At 42.2% G+C, this 23,371-nt stretch overlaps 1 long non-coding RNA gene across 1 annotated transcript; it reads left to right on the plus strand.

Moving 5' to 3' along the window:
* The first annotated feature begins 7,050 nt into the window (after nucleotides 1–7,050).
* Nucleotides 7,051–21,433, plus strand: LOC105373061 (uncharacterized). Its single transcript, XR_001737824.1, has 3 exons — nucleotides 7,051–7,135; nucleotides 15,683–15,839; nucleotides 21,061–21,433. It is a non-coding gene; the product is annotated as an uncharacterized LOC105373061 (long non-coding RNA).
* The last annotated feature ends 1,938 nt before the right edge of the window (nucleotides 21,434–23,371 follow it).

Here is a 23,371-nt window from a genome sequence, read left to right on the forward strand (position 1 = left end):
GCAAAACTCTGTCTCAAAAAATAAAAATAAAAAATAAAAAAATTAGCTGGGCGTGGTGGTGTGCGCCTGTAGCTACTCAGGAGGCTGAGGTGGGAGGATCCCTTGAGCTTGGGAGGTGGAGGTTGAAGGGAAGTGGAGGTTGCAGGGAGGTAGAGGTTGCAGGGAGGTAGAGGTTGCAAGGTGCCAAGATTGCACAACTGCACTCCAGCCTGGGCAACAGAGCAAGACCCTGTCTCAATAAGTAAATAAATAATAAAATACTGTATAAAATTACCTTCAGGCTATGTATATAAGATGTATATGAAACAAATTAATTTCATGCTTAGACTTGGGTCCCAGCTCCAAGATATCTCATTATGCAAATATTCCAAAATCTGAAAAAGTCCAAAATCTGAAACACTTCTGGTCCTAAGCATTTCTGATAAAGGATACTCAAGCTATATCTCTATCTTCTTTCCTCTGAAAATGCCACATGCAGAATTCATTACTATTGCATGTGAATGAGCAAGATTTAGCATTTAAATAGTCAAAACCATCCCTTTGCTTCAGCACATCCTCTAATTCTTCTCCAGAAACATGGCAATATACATATTTTGTTATTAAACAATAACAATGATAACTGTTTGATTCACAAAGACAAATATGTGTTTTGTTTCACTATCTTTTTTTAGTGACTCATTCATTATTGAACACTATTCCCATCATTCAGTCAACTCTTGAATATCCTTTGAGATAGTTTGAGTAATTAAAATAGCAGCATTTAATTTCAGGTCTATTTTTGATAGAATTATTATTAGTACCCTCAGCGAGGTCTCTCTGCCTGAAAGACAGCTCCCCCCTCCCTCCCACCAAGTGACAAGTCCTGATATGACATTAAAAACGCATGAATCCCAGCTGCTCGGGAGGCTGAGATGGAAGAATCACTTAAGCCCAGGAGGTCGAGGCTGCAGTCAGCTATGATCACGCCACCGCACTCCAGCCTGGGCAACAGAGGTATACCCTGTCTCTAAAATAATAATAATAATAATAATAATAATAAGTAAAAAGCATTTTAAAAGATAAGGAAAGTCTCTTTCAAAAGGAACTTCTGGACACTGACACCTGACTCCCTGGGCTTTTGTTTGATTCCCTTTTCCGCTGAGGTCTACTTCCTGATTACTCAGCTGACCATTCCTCATCTATTTGTCATGAAAGTGAGTGGATCACAGCAGAAGCTCAAAAAACATGAGTCCCTCCTCTTCCCATCCATTTGGACCAGCATGCCTGTGTAAAGGCCAGAAGTGTGAAACAGGATGGCAAGCACCAGTTGTACATTAGAATGCAGGATGTGAATGAAAGAAGGCATTAAGGGGGGGATCAGGCCCCTCCTCCCCATCTTTGGGTCCACCTGTGGCTTTGGTAAGTCCCAGGACCAGAGTATGCCCTTCATGACCCCATCCACCTTAACACCTGCTACTCAAAGATGGGGTTTCACCAGCCCTTCAGTCCATCTTCTCCAGCCTGGGCTTAGTCAGGAGATGTTTCAAAGCCTTCTTCCTTAAATTCATCTTGCCACAGTACTATCATTATTTACTTTTCCCAAACAAATTGAAAATGAGAAGGTGTGTCCAAAAGGAAACTTGGAAACAGAGACACCAAAAAAATTCAGGTAATGCATGGCACTCGCCTAAGAAGTCCTTCCACTTAACTGGATTCCAACACATTGGTTATTCTTTGTTTCCCTGGTTCTTATACTGCTTGTCAACGATCAAAACGTCAGAAAATAATTAACATCATCAACAGCAGGACAAACTGACAGTTATGAGTTTCCTGATGTACAGCCCCAGGAAGGATGAACCACCACTTCCGGCTATTGTCACCATGTTCTCATGTATAGCCTGAATCTCATCATGAGAAAACATGAAACAAACCCAAACGGAGAGACAGTCTCTAAAACTACAGGCCTACACACCTAACAGCAAGGTCATGAAAAATAAACCAAAGCTGAGGAGTTGTTCCAGATTAAAGGAGACTAAAGAGTCATCTCAAGGAGATTATTAAGACAAGTGGTAAAATTTGAACAGGGACTGTATATTAGATAACAATATTATATCTAGGTTAAATTTCCTGAATTTTCTAATTGAGCCACGGTGATAGGGTTTGGCTCTGTGTCCCCACCCAAATCTCATGTCGAATTGTAATCCCTGCATGTCGGAGGAGGGGCCTGGTGGGAGGTGATTGGATCATGGGGACAGACTTCCCCCTTGCTGTTCTCGTGATAGAGTAATCACAAGATCTGGTTGTTTGAAAGTGCATAGCACTTTCCCCTTCACTCTCTCTCTCTCCTGCCTCACCATGGTAAAACACACTTGCTTCCCCTTCACCTTCCTCCCTGATTGTAAGTTTCTGAAGCCTCCCAGTCATGTTTCCTGTACAGCCTGCAGAACTGTGAGTCAATGAAACCTCTTTTCTTCATAAATTACCCAGTCTTAGGTAATTCTTCATAGCAGCCTGAGAACAGACTAATACATGTAGTTATGCAGGAGAACGTTCTTAGGAGATTTCTGCTAAAGTATTTTGACATAGAAGGGCACCAATCATTTAGGAAAAAAGTAATGTGAATACGTAGAGAGTAATAACATAGGGAGTGATAGGCAAATGTGGCAAAATGTTAAGAATTGGGGTAAAGCAATGTGGAAATTTTTTTCATAACACTGCTGTAAGTTTGGGATTATTTCTAGAAAGAGAAAAGAGAAAACACAAAAATGGAACATTCAAAAATCAGATCCTTCACCTCTATTTTCTGATAGATTATTCATGTAAGAAAAGGTGAGAGTTTACCTGCAACTCTCCTATCAGTAGCATTTTTAAGTTGAGTAGTAATAGTGATCATTGGGAAAGGGATTCGGTTATTTGGTTACATGGACTGTATGAGTTCATTTTCACACTGCTATGAAGAAATACACGAGACTGGGTAGTTTACAAAGGAAAGAAATTTAGTTGACTCACAGATCCACATGGCTGAGGAGGCCTTGGGAAACTTACAATCATGGTGAATGGGGAAACAAACAAGTCCTTCTTCACATGGTAGCAGGAGAGAGAAGAAGTGCCAGCAGGGGGAATGCCAGACGTTTATAAAACCATCAGATCTCATGGTACTCACTCATTATCATGAGAATGGCATGGGGTGGAACCACCCCCATGATCTAATTACCTTCCAAGAGGTCACTCCCCCAACATGTGGGGATTACAATTTGGATTACAATTCAAGATGAGATTTGGGTGGGGACACAGAGCCAGACCATACCGTGGGTCTACCAGCTTTTTTCCCTCATTAGAGAGAAGGCATTGATTTGCCTCATAGGTTCTCCTAATTAATCCTGAGGTCCTGTACCCATCTGGTCCAATGGAGAGTTTGCCCTTCTATGTTCACAAATAATAGTAGTGGATGAGCCAGGCGCGGTGGCTCACGCTTGTAATCCCAGCACTTTGGGAGGCCGAGGCCAGTGGATCACCTGAGGTCAGGAGTTTGAGACCAGCCTGGACAACATGGTGAAACCCCGCCTCTACTAAAAATACAAAATTAGCCCTGTGTGGTGGCGCATGCCTGTAATCCCAGCTACTTGGGAGGCTGAGGCATGAGAATCGCTTGAACCCGGGAGGCAGAGTTTGCAGTGAGCTGAGGTCACACCATTGCACTCCAGACTGGGCAACAAGAGCATAGTATATCCACTACAAAATAGTAGTGGATAAGTATTAAATGCTTATATATGAAACACTGTACCTTCTTAATTTTTATTTTATTTTTTAAAATTTATTTTTGAGACAGTGTCTTACTCTATCGCCCAGGCTGGAGTGCAGTGGCATGAATGGCTCACTGGAGCCTCATCCTCCTGGGCTAAGCAATCCTCCCACCTCTGCCTCCTGAGTAGCTGGGACCACTCAGCTATGCACCACAGGTATGCGCCACCATGCCTGGCGCTAGTTTATTTATTTTTTGTAGAGACAGGTTTCCCCATGTTGCCCAGGCTGGTCTTGAACTCTTGTGCTCAAGTGATCCTCCCACTTTGGCCTCCCAAAGTGCTGGGATTACAGGTCTGCACTACCACACCCAGCCATGCTAACCTTTTAATAGCATTAAGGCATTTAATTCTCACAAGAATACTCTAAGCTATGTACTATTATTTACCCATTTTTACAAATGAAGAAACTGAGGCACAGAGAGGGCAATACATTTCATGACCTCACAAAATGACTTGGTGGATGAGCCAGGAATTGAAATCAGGTGAATCTGGCACCAGCGTCGATGCTCTTAACCATGCTACTACACGACATCTAGGCAGAAAGAGCCCTTGCTGGGGCAGCATTTTGTTGGGAGGAACGTTGATCTGGCATTCCTTCTCTTGGCACTAGGATTGAATACTGCCCTGAGTCTGGATATCTACCTAATCGTCACATGCCAGAGATGGCTACAAAGCCTTTAAGAATAGAAGTAGGGGTCAGGCGCGGTGGCTTATGCCTGTAATTCTAGCACTTTGGGAGGCCAAGGCGGGTGGATCACCTGAAGTCAGGAGTTCAAGCCCAGCTTGGAAAACATGGCAAAACCCCGTCTCTACTAAAAATACAAAAATTAGCCAGGCGTGTTGGTGGGTGCCTATAATCCCAGCTACACAGGAGGCTGAGGCAGGAGAATGGCTTGAACCTGGGAGGCACAGTTTGCAGTGAGCCAAGATAGCACCACTGTACTCCAGCTTGGGCAACAGAGTGAAACTCCATCTCAAAAAAAAAAAAAAAAAAAAAAAGGATAGAATAGAATAGAATAGAAGTAGGGCCTCTTTCCCTGCTCCCCTGGCCCCTTCTTCCCCCTTCCACCATCTGTATATGAGTCTCAGGGATTGTAAAGACAACCAAGATGATGATGGAACCCATACCATGGAGTGAGAAAGACACAAATTCGGCCATGATGAATTGTGATGTTAATGTGCCTCCATCCCCCGTTTCCCTCGCTACCTTGTCTGGTTCTGTGGGCCTCCTCCCTATTCCTCCTTTTTCCGTGCAGCTCCTCTGCAGGAGGTTCAATGCTCATTTCACATCAAGGCTCTCCCTTTCACTTTGCTCCACACCAACTGAAATCCAATATGGGTTCTTTATTTCCCTCACACCCACCATACAAAATGCCCACAGCCGGTTACATCTTCTGCCGCCTGTGGTCTGAGTGTTTCTTTCTAGGAGAGTTCTCTGGTAGTGACCTCTGTACTCAGCTATTCTGTCCCCTGCTCTGCCTTCATTGGGGCAACAGAGGAACTATTTTATATTCTGCTTCTTTGGGCAGCAAAAGTAAATTACACAAGGTGTGGGTGGAGGGGGGTCCAAGTTGAAAACAGATTTCTATGTCAGGCAGAAACATGGATGCCTGTGACACTCTGAGTAACGACATTCAAAACCCATTCTGGATGCAGAAACCTGTAAACAAAATGTAGGGAGTGTGTAGGGATGGGAGGGAGGAAAGAGCAGATCCTTTTAACTTTCCAGAGAGGGAAAAATTTGTAATGATCCGAAAATAATAGAACTGTTGGAAACACGTGAAATCCGCCTTATGGCAGGCTCATCATTCCTTGAAAGACAGCTCTGTTTGTTCTGCAATGATGTAGAAACCACTAATCATGTGCCACCATCAACTTGGACCCCCCTCCACCCACACCTTGTGTAATTTACTTTTGCTGCCCAAAGAAGCAGAATATAAAATAGTTCCTCTGTTGCCCCAATGCAGGCAGAGCAGGGGACAGAATAGCTGAGTACAGAGGTCACTACCAGAGAACTGTCCTGGAAAGAAACACTCAGACCAGAGGCAGCAGAAGATGTAACCGGCTGTGGGCATTGTGTATGGTGGGTGTGAGGGAAATAAAGAACCCATATTGGATTTCAGTTGAACTTTGAGTTGGTGTGGAGCAAAGTGAAAGGGAGAGCCTTGATATGAAGTGAGCATTGGCCCTCCTGCAGAGGAGCTGCACGGGAAAAGGAGGAATAGGGAGGAGGCCCACAGAACCAGACAAGGTAGTGAGGGAAACGGGGGATGGAGGCACATTAACTTACTGCCGTCCCATCTGGTAATCTTCATTTCCATTCACTGAGTCACGCTATGGCCATGCTATATCACTTTGAGTGCTAGCACAGCAGCAAGATGGGTAGATCTGAACTTCATGTGGTAGCAGGGGTGTGGCAGGTGCTTGGGTAATGACTGGTAGTAGGTAGCAGGACAGCACCTGCACTGAAGAGAACATTCTCCAGGGGTTAAAGGTGGAGTGTGTCCAGGTTCTTAACGTCCTGAGCAAAGAATTGGACAAAACGCACAAAGCAAGGAAGGAATGAAGGGATTTATTGAAAATGAATGTACACTCCACAGTGTGGGAGTGGGCCTGAGCATAGGGTTCAAAAGGCCCTGTTACAGAATTTTTGGGAGTTTAAATACTCCCTACAAAATTCCATTGGTAACTTTGGGTACACCCTATGTAAATGGAGAGGATGAAGTAAAGTTACAGTCATTTACAGCATACGCTCTATGGAGAGGATGTTTTCTGTTATAGCCGAAGTGTGAATCAGCCTTATGTTCCCTGCCTCCAGACCCTATTTTCCTGCCTCACAGGAAGGCAGAACAATGACTCAGATGATATACAAAGTCACAGTGAGTACCCAGTGACTAACATGATGTCTCGGGGTGTCCTGCGAGACAGGTGAAGCCCTACCTATAATACTCAGAAATCAGGGAGTTAGCATTGTGTAACAGTTAGCTGTATGCAGGCCACCAATCTCCAGGCCATGGCTCTTGGATAGACTGGCTTTTTGGAGTAGACGGTACTGGTGGGAAGAAAGTAAACTTTGAGATTTGAATAGAGAGGGTACTAGACAGACCTAAGCACATTAGCGATCACATCGAACCAGGCATCAGAACCAGCTCACAGGCTCCTCCAGTCTAGAAGCAAGAGTGAATTGGAGGCAGTCCTAGAATGTTGATTTACATGGTCAAATGCCTCTCTATGAGGTCAGGATTGGTCCTACAGATCAAAGCTCCAGGCCACACATGTTAAGGACCCTCAGCCCAGGGAGGTGGCTTTAATCTTGGTTCTCCAGTGTCAGGAAGAGATCCTTCAGTCATGGGGTAAGTATTTTCTGAGCACTTAGTACGTGGCAGGCGCTGGACTATAATGGAGAATAGTCCCTGCCCTCAAGGAGCTCCGAGAAACAAGACTCATTGGACCATCAGTCTGGATTCACTGAGGCAGGATTCTTTACAGCACTTCTGATGCAATTGTCACGGACTGGAGACCAGCCTCCATACAGGACCTGCAGGCATATTTTGTTACGCCCTGCACAGCGAAATACAAATCCAATAAAAGTAAATGCGCAAGTCTGAGGGGAACAGCTTGAAGATCTTATATACCACCCCACCACAGTGTTTCTAAAGGTTAGGCAATGTCACTGAAAATAGAGAAGAGGAAAGGTACATCCAGAAGGTGGAATAATAACCCTCCAAAGACATCCACATTCTAATCCCCGGGATCTGTGAAGACGTTACCTGATGGAGCGAAAGCGACTTTGCAGATGTGATTAAATTAAGGGCCTTAAAAAAAAAAAAAAAAAAAAAAGAGAGACAGAGAGATCACTTGGGTATTCGGCATATTCGATTCCCTCTAAAAGGTTCTGTATCATATTTATTCACTGAGCAAAGTCACCCTGTCAGTTTCAGAATTTGAGGTCAAAGTCATTTTGAGAAATAAAGGCAGATTGTCTTTTGGTTGTTCGATTTGTCTTGAAGGATATGGTATTTGTCAAAACAGCAGTTATTCTCAAAAAGAATTCTATTATGTACTCTTAGAGATCAGAAGCTTTTTACTAATACTTGTTTATTTTCATTAACTGGGGAAAATATGAGTATTGTTTATTTTTACTCCTTTCTATGCTGCAAGTTAATAAAAATAAATCCCTTCAAAGTTAGTGATCAATGCAATGAAACAATATATTTAAAAACATTTCAATTAAATTAACTAAATATAAAAAAAAAAAAAAATAAAAAAAAAAAATAAATAAATTAAGGGCCTTGAGGTGGGGAGATTATCCTGTATTATCTGGATGGGCCCAATCCAATCACACTGTTCTTTTCATCAGAGAACCTTTCTTGGCCGAGTTCGTAGTCAGAGGGAGATGTGACTACAGAAGAATGGTTGGACACGTGCAACACTGTGGGCTTTACAGAGGAAGGAAGGGGACATGAGCCAAGGAACTCTGGCAGCCTCTAGAAGCTAAAAAAGGCAAGGAAACAGATTCTCCCTTAAAGCTTCCAGAAAGGGACACAGCCCTGTAACACTTGGATTTTAGCCCAACTGGGTGTGTGTCCCGCTAGTGATCTCCAGAACTGTAAGATAAGTGTGTGTTGTTTTAAGCCATTAGGCTTGCTCGTGATTACTTGTTATAGCAGTGATAAGAAACTGATACACTGGCTTTTTTTTTTTCAAACAGATTCTCACTCTGTCACCCAAGCTGGGGTGCAGAGGCATGATCTCAGCTTACTGCAACCTCCAACACCCGGGTTCAAGCAATTCTCCTGCCTCAGCTTCACAAGTAGCTGGGACTACAGGCATGCACCATCACGCCTGACTAATTGTTGTATATTTAGTAGAGATGAGGTTTCACCATGTTAGCCAGGCTGGTCTTGACATCCTGACCTCAGGTGATCCACCCACCTCGGCCTCCCAAAGTGCTGGGATTACAGGCATGACCCACCACGGCCAGCTGGCATATTTTATGATGCTAAAAAGATTGGGTACTATCTATTCTCTAATACTTGCTAAATCTTCATCTATTGTAACAGGAAATAAATTGATAGTGGCCAAAAAGGATAAATTTTAAAATAACAGTTTAAGCATATTCTTTACATATAGAGGTAAATATCAAAAGAAATGCCCAAGAGAAGTGAAAGTGGTTGCCTCTGCCGAGTGAGACTAAAAGATGGGGCAGGAATCTGCTGTTTTGGTACTACTGATGCAATTTTTAAGAATCAGAATGCACTAAAACTTTGACTTAAGAAATGCTAAAACAATGTAATTAGACCAGTGTTTTCTTTCATATAAGCAGGTATTGTCTAGAGCTGTACTGTTCTACATAGTTAGCCACTAGCTCTATGTGGCTTTTACATTTCATGTTAAAATTAACTAAAATTGGCCGGGCATGGTGGCTCACACCTGTAATCCCAGCATTTTGGGAGGCCGAGGTGGGTAGATCACCTAAGGTCTGGAGCTCAAGACCAGCCTGGCCAAGATGGTGAAACCCTGTCTCTACTAAAAATACAAAAATTAGCCGGGCGTGGTGGCATATGCCTGTAGTCCCACCCAGCTACTCAGGAGGCTGAGGCAGGAGAATCTCTCGAACCTGGGAGGTGGTGGTTGCAATAAGCCGAGCCTGCACCACCGCACTCCAGCCAGGGTGACAGAGTGAGACTCTGTCTCAAAAAAAAAAAAAAAAAAAAAACTAAAATTAAATTAAATTAAAAGTTCAGTCCCTCATTCACACTAGCCACACTTTGTGTGCCAGACAGTGTATTGGATTCGTAGATTAAGAACTTTCCATGAGAACATTCTATTAGGCTATGCTGGTCAAGGTTCTTTTGTTCTCTGCCCTGCACACCCCTGAAGCCGTTTGGGTTTGTAACTATTGCCTAGCGGCAAGATAGGGCTACAGATGTGAGTGTATGGGAGCCTGCAGGCCAGTTAAAGGAGTTACATCTGCCAGTCAGGATTAATGGAAAGCAAGATTAGAAAAGGAACAGACCAGCTCACCAGTTATCTAGGACTGCATACCAAACCACCTCAAAACATATGTGTTGTACAATAACCATTGTATTTGACCCTCAGCTGGAACATCTAAGGATGGTCTCTCTGTGTGGCCTGGGCTTCTTCATCACATGGTGCCTGGGTCCAAGAAACAGGAAGTGGAAGCTGCCAGGTTCTGAAGACCTGGTCCTGGAGACTGGCACTGCTCACTTCCACTATATTTCATTAGCCAAATAAGCACAGAACCCAGATTCAAGGAGAGGTGACATAGACTCCACTTCTCAATGAGAAGAGTATCACAGAATTTGGGGGCCATGTTTTAAAACCACCAAAGCTCAGAACTCCTCTTCTTCCTTATCAATGTCTACTTTTCAAGGAAAGATTTTTTTTTTTTTTACAAAACCTTTATAAAGACAGTTTTTACAACTTGCATGCCTTTGCTATTCTATAACTATAAAGTACCCCACTACATGTCAAACGCTGTGTAGACTGTTACTCTTTCAAGCAATGACATAAAGGAAGAAATAGAGAAATGCAATATGAAGAGAGATTCTTTTTTCTTTTTCTTTTCTTTTTACATTTTTTTACATTTTTCCCTAAAAATTTCACTGAAGTGAGAAAGCTTTTTTAGATGGAAGAAAACATGAACATGTTTATAGACAGGAGAAAAAGGGTGTTGCCAATATAGAAAAAGATTCTAAGTGTTGGTAGAGAAGGAAGGAATTGGCTAAAGAGTAGCAGGGAAGGTGGAGCTGATTTCCAGATTAATTTTTTTTAAAAAGGCCAGATGCGGTGGCTCATTCCTGTAATCCCAGCACTTTGGGAGGCTGAGGTGTGTGAAATGCTTGAGCACAAGAGTTCAAGACCAGCCTGGGCAACATGGGGAAACCTGTCTCTACTAAAAATACAAAAATTAGCCAGGTATGGTAGTACGTGCCTGTAATCCCAGCTACTCAGGAGGCTGAGGCAGGAGAATCACTTGAACCCAGGAGGCGAAGGTGAGCCAAGATTGTGCTCACTCCAGCCTGGGTGACAGAGTGAGACTCCATCTCAAAAAATAAAATAAAATAATTTAAAAATTTAAAAAAGAGTACCAGGGAAGGAATTTACATCAGGCCACAGGTGGCTACTAATCCTTTGTCCCTTCCAGAAATTTTTACATTTTCCTTTTAACGAGTCTGTGTCTTTCTCCCTATGAACATTAAAAAGCACATTTGCACAGAACACTGTGCGGCCCACTTGGAATCCAATTCTAAAGGCGAAATAGCCTTCAATTCCATTATTTCTACCACTACCTCGCCCCACTTAGAAGAGGGTGTGCATGTCAGTGTTAAATGCTGCTCCTCCAACGGTTCTTCCAAGAAGCAAAGAAAACAGACTGCTGCAATGGGATCTCTGAGCAATTCTGATTTGCTGGGAATTGCAAAGGTTTTCTTTTACTCAGTGTTCTTGAGGTTTTGCTTCCATCTTCGAGAAATGATCCTTTTACCACTCCAAATTATTCACCTAGAGAGACACTTGCAAGTCCACAGAACACAAAAATGGCACTTATTAAACATTTAAATCACCTATAGGGTAATTATCAGATAAATACAGTATAAGGTTGCATTATTATCGTCTCTATGCCTGACATTTTCATAAAGCCATTTTATTCTGCAGTTTAAGAGAAATGATTACCAATAAAGCTTTTTTTTTTTTTTGAGACAAGAGTCTCACTCTGTCGCCCAGTCTGGAGTGCAGTGGCGTGATCTCAACTCACTGCAAGCTCTGCCTCCCGGGTTCACGCCATTCTCCTGCCTCAGCCTCCTGAGTAGATGGGACTACAGGCGCCCACCTCCACGCCCGGCTAATTTGTTGTTGTTGTTGTTGTATTTTTAGTAGAGACGGGGTTTCACCGTGTTAGCCAGGATGGTCTTGATCTCCTGACCTCGTGATCCGCCTGTCTCAGCCTCCAAAAGTGCTGGGATTACAGGCGTGAGCCACCACGCCCAGCCCAATAAAGCATTTTAATTGAATATTGTCAGTGATTGAGCTTTGGAAGGTTTTTAATTGGGTCATGTGATTTTCTAAAACTACTAAGTTCCTACTTTCTGATTTGAGAAATACATGTGACATTTATAAGTGTAACATCTAGTTACCAAGGGGGAACAAAATCCAAAAACCATAAGAAATCAGAGGGGCAAGGCTGTGACTCCTATCATGCATTCATGCTGCTCCTCTCAGGTGTCTCCTGCCGTCTCTCAGATTACAGCTGTCCACAGCTCACAGGTAATAAACTCAGGCTATTCCAGCTTTCTGACTTCATTTTCATTCAAATCTCAACAAATATTTACAAAGCACTTACTGTATAGTAACACTGCACATGAGGCCAGTCAAATATGAGGAAGACAGTGGTAAATGTGTAAGATGGAGCAAGAGCTGCAACTAAAGAATCAAAGAGGATATCTCTTCTAAATCCAGAGATATGAGAAAGAAAATAGAAAAACTCTTATTAGACGTAGGAGTCAGGGAGCTTACATGAGCAGAAATGCCCAACCCAAGGACAGAATAGAATAAAGAAACCAAGTTAAGACAGTAAATTCTGAGCCAAATCTTTTCTTTCTTTATCTTTCTCTCTCTCTCTTTTTTTTTTTTTTTTTTTTTTTTGTAGCTCCTGGTCTCTGGTTGAAGAGCCAAATCTTTTTGAAGAGTAGTCCTGCGGAGGACCCACTGGGCACCCGCTAGGGAAACAATGGGAGGGATGAAAACAGAGAAGGAAAAGAAAGCGGATCCAGGGTTCCCACCTCCCTGGGTGAACCCGACTATCAATGCCCACATTAGACAAAAGGAGACGAAAAGATGTTTTCCTGGGCTCCTGGTTTGTGTTATTTGAGGCCTTCCTTTTTCAAACAATCTAATCTAATGTATCAGGTATCTGATTCAAGAGGCACATTCATTGACTTTCATAGTTAATTTATGGACTTATGGCTGCTAATATTTGTTGGCTGTTACAAAACTTTATCCACAGCTCATAAAGATTTCTTAGTTGTGAGCAATAGCAATTTAAATCTTTTCTTAGGGCAGGTTTGTTTTTTAGTTTAGTTTTTGTAAGATTATTACAGTAATAGAACTTTGGCACTTTTACTAAGGGAAGGGAATCTTGAAGGATTTCATAACCAACTGTGTTTTCTAGTAAGCTCAGACACACAAAACCCTAGGAAAGAGGCTCAGAAAACATGAGATGTAAGGTGAGGTTTGGCATAGACTTTGAATGAGGAATGGCAAAGGCTGGCATCTTCATTCCAAAGTACCCACTGGCACACAGCATTTGCTAAGCAATTTACCAAGACAACAGGGGTAGCTTCCTTGGCTTTTTATTTATAAAAGCATGCTAGACACATCTTAGAACAGTGACTGGGAAGTCTGTCTGATATTATTGTTGTTACTGTTATTATTATTATTATCACTTTTTTGACAATCCTGAGATTTTTTGAACTCTGATAATGTGCCATGTAGAAGACAAACTAAGAGGCTGGGCACAGTGACTCACGCCTGTAATCCCAGAACTTTGGGAGGCTGAGGTCAGGAGTTCGAGACCAGCCTGGGCAGCATGGTGAGACTCCCATCTCTACTAAAAATACAAAAATTAGCCAGGTGCAGTGGCAGGCGTCTGTAATCCCAGCTACTCAAGAGGCTGAGGCAGGAGAATCGCTTGAAGCCAGGAGGCAGAGGCTGCAGTGAGCCAAGATTGTGCCACTGCACTGTAGCCTGGGCCACATCTCAAAAGAAAAAGAAAAAGAAAGTAGACAAACTAAGATAGAAAGGAAAGAAGAGACTTTTCAGAAAATCTATTTTTTAAGCTCTTGATTCATAAAGTACAAAATGATACTGGTCAAATAATTGCTTCAGAAGTCTAACCCTAAAGAAAATCGTATCACCTTCTGTAAGAAATCTGTAAGATTGCCAAAGTAAACAGTATGTTCTCACTGCCCAGAAAGGCCCCACCTGTCACCTTTCTGGCAGAAGAGTGAAGGGAAGTAAAAGGTGAAAGTGCACAAGGAAGTTGCAACCTCAGTGAACCACAAAACCATCCCCACAGGCAGGCAGTTGATATATGAAAATTCCATTGCTATTTGGTCATTTTTAAGAATAATTTTCTTAACTGTTTTTACTTAAATTTTTTCAAAATCAGTTATAAACTTTCCTTATGGGCCGGGCACCATGGCTTATGCCTATAATCCCAGTACTTTGGGAGGCCAAGGCAGGAGGATTGTGTCAGCTCAGGAGTTTGAGACCAGCCTGGGTAATATAGTAGGACCTCTGTCTCTTCAAAAAAAAAAAATAACATAATTAGCTAGCATCAAGGCACACGCCTACAGTCCCAGCTACTTGGGATGCCAAGGCAGGAGAATTGCTTGAACCCAGGAAGTTGAGGCTGCAGTGAGCCATGATCACGCCACTGCACTCCAGGCTGGGCAACAGAGCGAGACCCTGTCTCAAAAAAAAAAAAAAAACTTTTCTCATGAAAAATTCCCTGAAATATAAAAATGTATTCCAAGGCTGGGTGCAGTGGTTCATGCCTGTAATCCCAGCACTTCGGGAAGCCAAGGCAGGTGAATCGCTTGACGTCAGGAGTTTGAGACCAGCCTGGCCAGCATGGTGAAACCTCATCTCTACTAAAAATTAGCCAGATGTGGTGGTGGGCGCCTGTAATCCCAGCTACTCAGGAGGCTCAGGCAGAAGAATTACTTGAACCCAGGGGGTGGAGGTTGCAGTGAGTCAAGATTGTGCCACTGCACTCCAGCCTGGGCCACAGAGTGAGACTCTGTCTCAAAAAAAAAAAAAAAAAAAATTGTCCAAGCAATAGCACACACACCAAGCCTCACAAATCACCACCAGCTTTACATTTTAGATTGTGATCATACGGAGCATACACAGGCTGAGGGCTCTACTGGAACTCATTTTCCATCTGCAGAAACCACTATCTGGATAAATCTTTACCCAGAGAAGAAGCATCATCTTTGTCCCAAAAGCCAGATGGTCTAATAGTATACCGGGGCTCTCTGTACCTCAGTTTCCTCATCTGTAATTGCCTTATGCAGTTGTATACATGCCCTAGTACTGTTTCTTTTTTTAACTTTTTTTCTTGCCTCAGGAACTTTGCACCTAGTACTGGTTTTAAAAGTGTACTACCAACATTAAGATGAGATCCAAAGGAAAATTTGAGTGGAGCCTGAGCAGTACAACTTGTAGCTTCCCCCTCTAAGAATTTTTTTTTTTTTTCTTGAGATGGAGTCTCACCCTGTTGCCCAGGCTGAAGTGCAGTGGCGTGATCTCGGCTCACTGCAACCTCCACCTCCCAGGTTCAAGTGATTCTCCTGCCTCAGCCTCCCAAGCAGCTGGGATTACAGGCATGCACCACCACATCCGGCTTATTTTTGTATTTTTTTAGTAGAGACGAGGTTTTGCCATGTTGGCCAGGCTGGTCTCGAACTCCTGGCCTCAAGTGATCTGTCCGCCTCAGACTTCCAAAGTGCTGGGATTACAGGCGTGAGCCACTGCACCCGGCCTCCCTTTAAGAATTAATTTCCCTATTGAATCATTTAAAACAAAAAAGGCTCTGTAGATTATCACTGGGTTTAATCCTGTCTAGAAGCAAGAAACACCAGGGTGAATTTAGCTAAGACCCAATTCTTAAGTACTTGCCTAAATGTCTAGGATAGTTATGAGTGTTTTCCTGAGAATCTTCAAGGAAAGAAATTCAGTTTCCTGAAATAGTTCAGGCTTCAAGTAAAACTGCTACATAGGAGAGTTAAATTAAATAACCTCTAAAAGTTTTTTTCCAACCATGGCTTTCATTTTTAATTGTCTTATGCTTCCCCCTCTCTCTCATTTCAAAGGTAATCAGGAAGTCTCCTAGGATAAGGTTATTATATTCAAGTCCTGCCAAAAAATGTAAGAAAAGAAGCTCCTATTTGAGTGGACCAAAAAGAACAATTATACCTCCTAAAAATAAAATGAACCTAAGCTAAGAAAATGAAAAGGTTTCTAAAGAAGGTCAGTACTTCTTTTTTGGTCTCCTTTCATCACTGTGTGATTTACTTTAATAGTACCCTGTCAAACTAGATGACTCAGTGGCCTCATCACAGCTTACAGAGCATTTCATCTGTGGTCATTCATCCTGCCTATGAAGAAATTGACATGTAGTCACTACAGAGCAACACTGCTCACCAATGGTTGTTCACCACCATACCCTCCTGATCCTTGCCTAATCAAACAGAGAGATGCTATCCTGCTTTTACCTACACAGAAAAAGAAAGAAGATAAAACAATGTTAGGGGGTTGTGGCTCATTGATGGTCAGATATGAAAAGCTGCTTCAAATGCTGTCCCATCAGTTCCTAAAACTGCAACATGAAAATGCATCATCATGACTACCCTTTACCTATCTCCCAAGCGTGAAATTGTTTTCCCCAGTAAAAGTTTAAGGAAATGAAGTAATTGCTGTTTGGGGCAGGAATGCTATGAGTATTACCATGCAGTTTTTTCCTTAAATGTTTAATTAGAAGGAAGTATGGCATTCTTACAGCTATTTTTTAATTAAGCCAGCAGACTCTACCAAGAATCTGATCCCCTCTCTAAGCAGATAATTACAGTGACAAGTGACTTTCAAGTTTATGCCCATATATACTCCTAGACTTCTGATGTGCCCCAGAAGGACGTTACCATTCATGTTCTGAGTGCTGGCCTCTGGGCCTGACCCTGTCTGCCTGGATTTGGAACTTTGCCTTTCCTTAACTTGTGACTTGCCCCCCTAGATTCCAGCCTGTCCTTGACCTCTGGCAACAGCAAACTCGTTAACACCTGCTCCGCATGCATAAATCCTTGCCTTCTGCCCAATTCTTAATTCTGATTTTTGGACTTCTGGACCAGGCTAATCCTTACAGTCTGGGGAGAATGAAAACATTGTTAGACTGAAATAGCTAAGCCCAGAGTTTATGATTAATGAGGACAGACAGGCCAAGGAGTCAGTAACCATACAAATGTTCACAAATGATTTGCCATAAGGCCTTAGATTTTACATATTATATATATGAGGTTCATATGTTATAGCCAGTGTCAGGACACTAACAAGTGAAAGACTTTTCAAACCCAGGTCAGGGAACTCAAAGCATAGCCCTCAAAACGTACCTCAGATCATAGGGCAAATATATGCAGACATATGTAGTCACTGTTGCTGAGCTGAAAGTGTCACCCGTGCCCTGAGGACACGTTTGGTATCTATTTAAGACCTGAGCATTGAGAGGCTGTAAGAGGTGCATAAATTCTGGGAAAGTCTTCATCCTTTACAAACACAAATGCATTGTATGTAAAATTACATGCATTTCTTTGAGGAAACTCTCACTATAAATGTTCAAATATGGTAGGGGCTATAAAATAACAAATGGAGTTTGAACTATAAAAGGCTGGTGTGGAAGACCAAAAGGAATGCACAGTGGAGAATTAGAAGACTTGGTTGGAGAACTTGCTCAGGCACTGATCAGCTGGCTCTCAATTTCTTTGTTAAAAAAATGAGGAATATATTTCTAAATCACGTTTATAGCCCTTTCAGCTCTGAATGATTCTTTGACCTTGACATAGAATAACAGGACTGGAAAGGACCTTAGTTACTTAATTCAACCACTAATCCTTCAGGGACAGAGACAATAGTATCTCCCGGGCCAGCCTATGCCCTTTCCAAAGAGCTCTTATCAGAAGAAAGGTCTTTTTTATCTTGAACTGGCACCTTTCTCTCTGTATTTTCTAGCATTAGTTCAAATGCTGGCCTCCTGGAAAACAATCCAAATTTAATCCTTAACCCACATGACAGCTTTTCACACTCCCCTCTCAAATTCTGTCTCAAGCAAAGCACCGTTAGTTGCTTTAAACATTCTTCATATGCTGAGGTTTTTTTGTTTTGTTTTGTTTTGTTTTGTTTTGTTTGAGACAGAGTCTCACTCTGTTGCCTGGGCTGGAGTGCAATGGTGTGATCTCAGCTCACTGCAACCTCCGCCTCCTGGGTTCAAGTGATTCTCCTGTCTCAGCCTCCCAAGTAGCTGGAATTACAGGCATCCACCACCACACCCGGCTAATTTTTTGTATTTTTAGTAGAGACAAGGTTTCACCATCTTGGCCAGGCTGGTTTCGAACTCCTGACCTCATGATCCGCCCACCTCGGCCTCCCAAAGTGCTGGGATTACAGGCATGAGCCACCGCGCCTGGCCCATATGCTGAGGCTTTAAACCCTATCTCCAACCATTCACTTTTTTTTTTAGAGATGGAGTCTCATTATGTTGCCCAGGCTAGACTCCTAAACTCAAGGGACCCTCTTGCCTCAGCCTCCTGGAGTAGCTGGGAATACAAATGCACACCGCCATGCCACACCCCACCCATTCACTTTTGTCTGCTTCTGTTATATGCTGTCATTGTCCTTCTTAAAGTATGGGGTGGGGGACATCAGAGCATCCAGAAGCAAATACTAAGAAGGCGAGAGGGAGTATCACCTTCTCTCCCCTGTTCTGAGCATTATTCTTCATTAATGCAGCCCACTTATGAATTAGCATTTGAAGAACAGTCATATCACATCATTGAATTACTGCATGTTTATCTTACAGTTTTTTCCACGTGTGGACATTAAGCAACACCTCTTCTATTCCGGGTTGTTTAATCAGGGTTTTTATTCCAAGTATAAAACCTTACAGTTTATCCCTGTTGGATTTCATCTTGTTAATGTTGAAATATCCTATAAGAAAAGTCCGAAGCAAAAAGGAATCAGTAATGGGTCTTAAAGGAAAAAGAAATAGGAAGTAGTCCCAGAAATGCAAGGAGTTAACTAGGAAGCCTAGCTGAGGGACTACTAAATTAAGAGGGCAGATGGAACCCTGTGTTTATTTTTGCTTCCTCCTAAAACTCTAATGAATCAACATAACAAGATTCTTTCTAAGGCACAAACTCACAAAGAAGGATGGAAAAGCCGTAACAGCAATAAAATTTTGGAATTTGAAAAGGTGATGACCAAGTGGCAACTAACTAGCACATCTGAGAAAGCAGTTCTTAAGCTAGAAATGGGGAAAGCCAAAAAGCAATTTGATATTCACCCCCCAAGTCCTAAAAGGCTCAGGAATTGGTGGTATGAGGTTCTACTGAAAGTGAGGGGGAAGGAGGGCTAAAAGCAGATTGATTGGATGAAGAGTGTTTTAAGAACACGTAGGATCCCTGGAGCTTCTGCTCCACCTCATCAGTAGGAGGCATATTATCTGGACAATAAGGCACTATTGAAGGTTGGCGTACTGTTTCCAGGAGATTAAAGGGAGTATTCTCAGCTCAGTCTTTTTCTTTTTTTTTTCTTCTCTTCTCTTCTCTTCTCTTTAGACAGGTTCTCACTCCATCAACCAGGCTGGGGTACAGTGATACAATCTGAGCTCCTCTGCCTCCCCAGCTCAAGCCATTCTCCCACTTCAACCTCCTGAGTGGCTGGGACCACAAGTGCACATCAACATGCCTGGCAAATTTTTTGTATTTATTTTTATTGTTGAGATGAGGTCTCGCTATGTTGCCTAGGCTGGTCTCAAACTCCTGGGCTCAAGCAGTCCACCCACCTTTGTCTCGGAAAGTACTGTGATTGCAGGCATGAGCCACCATGCCTGGCCAGCTCAGCCTTTTTTTTTTTTTTTTTTTTTTTTTTTTTTACAAACAAAATATTAGAGCATCTTCTCTACAGAATCCGACCAGTCCAAGAGGAAATACCAAATAATTTCAACTTTAAGGGTTCCTCAATGACATTCCTCCCTTCCATGGTACCGGTCCATGGCCTGTTAGGAACTGGGCTGCACAGTAGGAGGTGAGCAGCGGGCCAGCAAATGTTATCACCTGAGATCCACCTCTTGTCAGATCAGCAGGAGCGTTAGATTACATAAAGGTGTGAACCCTGTTGTGAACTGCACATGTGAGGGATCTAGGTTGTGTGCTCCCTATGAGAATCTAATGTCTGATGATCTGAGGTGGAACCAGTTTCATCCTGAAACCATCCCCCAACCCCAGATCATCATACAATGAAGCCCACAAATAAGCCCCACCCACATGCTCAGATCTTCCAAACAGCCTGCAAGAGTGCCTCTCTTGAATATAAGTAGCTATCTAAGACTCACCAAGCATCTGAGGCAAACCTCCAGTATGATAAACAGACCACAACAAACAGAAAACAAAACACCTAACTTGGAGGAAACAGACTGCAGAGAAAATAAGACACCACAAAACTGTAATTAATAACCTTAGAAAGATAAGAAGATATTGCATTCAAGAAATAAGGATATTTAGAGATTATTAGCAGAAATGAAAATCTCAGTGAAAGATTTGAAAGATACAGTTGAAGAAATTTCCCAGAAAGTGGAGCAAAATGACAAAAAGACAGGAAATAGGAATGTAGAGATTTAAAGAAAATAAAAAGATCATTCAAGAATACCTAGCACTTGAATAACAAGAATTCTATAAGACAGCAGTCCCAAAGCTTCTTGGCACCAGGGACCGGTTTTGTGGAAGACAATTTTTCCATGGATAGGGGTTGGGGTTGGGGCATGGTTTCAGGGTGAAACTGTCCTGTCTCAGATCATCAGATATTAGATTCTCATAAGGAGCACACAACCTAGATCCCTCACATGTGCAGTTCACAATAGGGTTCACACCTCTATGAGAATCTCCTACTGATTTGACAAGAGGTGGAGCTCAGGCAATAACACTCACTTGCCCGCTGCTCACCTCCTACTGTGCAGCCCAGTTCCTAACAGGCCATGGACCGGTCCCAGGCCATGAACCAGTACCAGTCCACAGCCCAGGGGTTTGGGAATCCCTGCTCTAAGAGAAGAATTGGGAAAAAAAATCAAAGGGAGGAAATTATCAAAGACATCATTCAAGAAAATTTATCAGAACTGAAAGGCATAAGTTTTCAGATGGAAAAGGCCCATCTAATCCCAGCACAATATGTGAAAATAGAACCACAGAAAAAAACACATGTACATGACATTTAAGAACACTGGGGTTTATAAAAAATTTCAGAAAAGAAAACAGGCCATATATAGAGTAGAGAGTCAAAATGTCTAGAATCCAGAAGAAAATGGAGCAGTGCTTTCAAAATTCTGAGGAAAAATTATTTCCAGCCCAAAATTCACATATTAATTAAGCATAAGGGCAAAATGAAGACATCTTCAGACATGAACTGTCTAAAAATTACCTCCTATGTACAGTTTCTTAGGAAGCTACTGAAGGATGTATACCACCCAAACAAAGGAGATAATGAAAGGAGAGAAAGATATAAGAAACAGAAGCTCCAACTCAAGAGAAAAGCATAAAGCATCCCTAGGAGAATGGTGAAGAGATATCCTGGGAAGATAATTATGCAGCAGGCACAGAGAGCAGCCAAGTCAAATGGAGTAAGTTGGAAATCTCAGGGAAAGATTTCTCCAAAAAGATGAAAATGATAGAATATGTGACGAGCTTGAAACTGTTGAGAGATTTAGGCAGTTGGGGAGAGATTGTGGTTGAATTAGTTATAACTACAGAGAAAACCAAGGGGAGGGGGGAAATAAGACAATTATTAACCTCAGAGAAATTAAAAAGTTGTGCAAGAAAGAATAAATAATCACAATATACTACACAGTTCATCTGCAAATAGTGGTTATTATAATGAAAACTTGGAATTGTGCTCCAACCAGAATAGAGTGGGCCAATGGAAAGTGTACATAGATATGGTAGTGGTGTGGTGGCGGGGGCAGTGGTGAAAGAAAATTCAATCTTTATCTTTCATGGTAGGAAGTCAATAGATAATGTCTAACACTGAAATACCAAGAAATAACAATATAAGCATGTTATTTAGAAATAGGAAGATAAATACCAAAAAAGCAGTGTAAGTATTTGAAAATTGTTGCCTCTGAGGAAAGAAGGATGCAGGGTAAAGCAATATTTTTGTAACAAGGCTTGCAGAATTACTCATCTCTTTAAACTATGAGCACAATAACAGTGATATAGTTAGGATGTTTGTCCCCTCCAAATCTCATGTTGAAATACAATCTCCAATGTTGGGAGTGGGACCTAGTGGGAAATGTTTGGGTCATGAGGGCAGATCCCTCTTGAATGTCTTGGTGCTGTCCTTGTGATAGTGAGTGAGTTCTAGCAAGATCTGGCTGTTTAAAAGAGTGTGGCACCTCCCTGCTCCTCTCTTTCCATGTGATACTTCGGCTCTCCCTTTGCCTACTGCCGTGATTGGAAGCTTCCTAAGGCCTCATCAGGAGCCAAGCAGATGCTGGCATCATGCTTCCTGTACAGTCTGCAGAACCACAAGCCAATAGAACCTCTTTTCTTTATAAATTACCCAGTCGCGGGTACTTCTTTATGGCAACACAAATGGACTAACACAAATGGTAGTAGAAATAAAAACTAATTTGAAACCAGAATGAATAAATGAATGAAGAAAGCAAGTAGGAAAGCCATGTACCCTCCCTAAGAAAACCCTTTGATGATGAATAAAGAGAAAATAGAAAAAAAAAAAAAAAAAAAAAAAAAAAAAAGAAAATAGAACTCATCCAACACATCAAAGCCAAGTGGGAAGGGGACCAGAAGTGAAGCCAGGGAAGAAAGACCACCACTTGAACATATAATTAGATTTGTGAGGAAGAAGCATGGGTCAGTCACCAAGGACTGTCAATTTCATCTTCTGGATGTTTCTTGATTTCATTTACTTTCCTCCAACTTTATTCCTGCTATCTCAATTATGGCAACCAGCATCACCCTCCTGTGATCCCTCTGATAAAATACTGTTGTGGTTTTTCATTGCTCTTAGCATAAAACCAAGTAATTTATCAGGGAAATGATATGACTTATTTCCTTCCTTCCTTCCTTCCTCCCTTCCTTCCTTCCTTCCTTCTTTCTTTCTTTCTTTTCAGAAAAAAAAAATTCCACCCTGTCGTCCCGGGTGGAATGCAGTGGCACAATCTTGGCTCACTGCAACCTCCGCCTCCCGAGTTCAAGCAATTCTCTTGCCTCAGCCTCCCGAGTAGCTGGGATTACAGGCGCCTGCCACCACAACCAGCTAATGTTTGTATTTTTAGTAGAGACAGGATTTCACCATGTTGGTCAGGCTGGTCTCAGACTCCTGACCTCAAGTGATCCACCCGCCTCAGTCTCCCAAGATTTCTATTTTAGAAAGGGAATCTGGCTGCTGTGGAGAGTGGATTGAAAGAATAAAGCTAGAGCAGGGTGACTGTTGCAGTAACATAGGAGAGTGCCACATTCACCTCATATACTCAGCATCCAGTGAGTGGCTGACGTGGCAGATGTTCAATGACTATTTGTTGATGAGAGCCACTTATGCCCTGAGTGCATGATACTATATCTATTGCTGGGAATAATTTAGTAAAAACGTGATTGCTATAGCCAATTAGAAGAAAATAATGATAATAATTGCAAACGTTTACGTAACTTTTCATGACACTACACTAAGGACTTTATGTACATTAACTCAATCTTAAAACTCTATGAGGTAAATACTATTATTAACGT

This window comes from Homo sapiens, chromosome 1 (assembly GCF_000001405.40).
Source record: "Homo sapiens chromosome 1, GRCh38.p14 Primary Assembly".
NCBI lineage: Eukaryota > Metazoa > Chordata > Mammalia > Primates > Hominidae > Homo > Homo sapiens.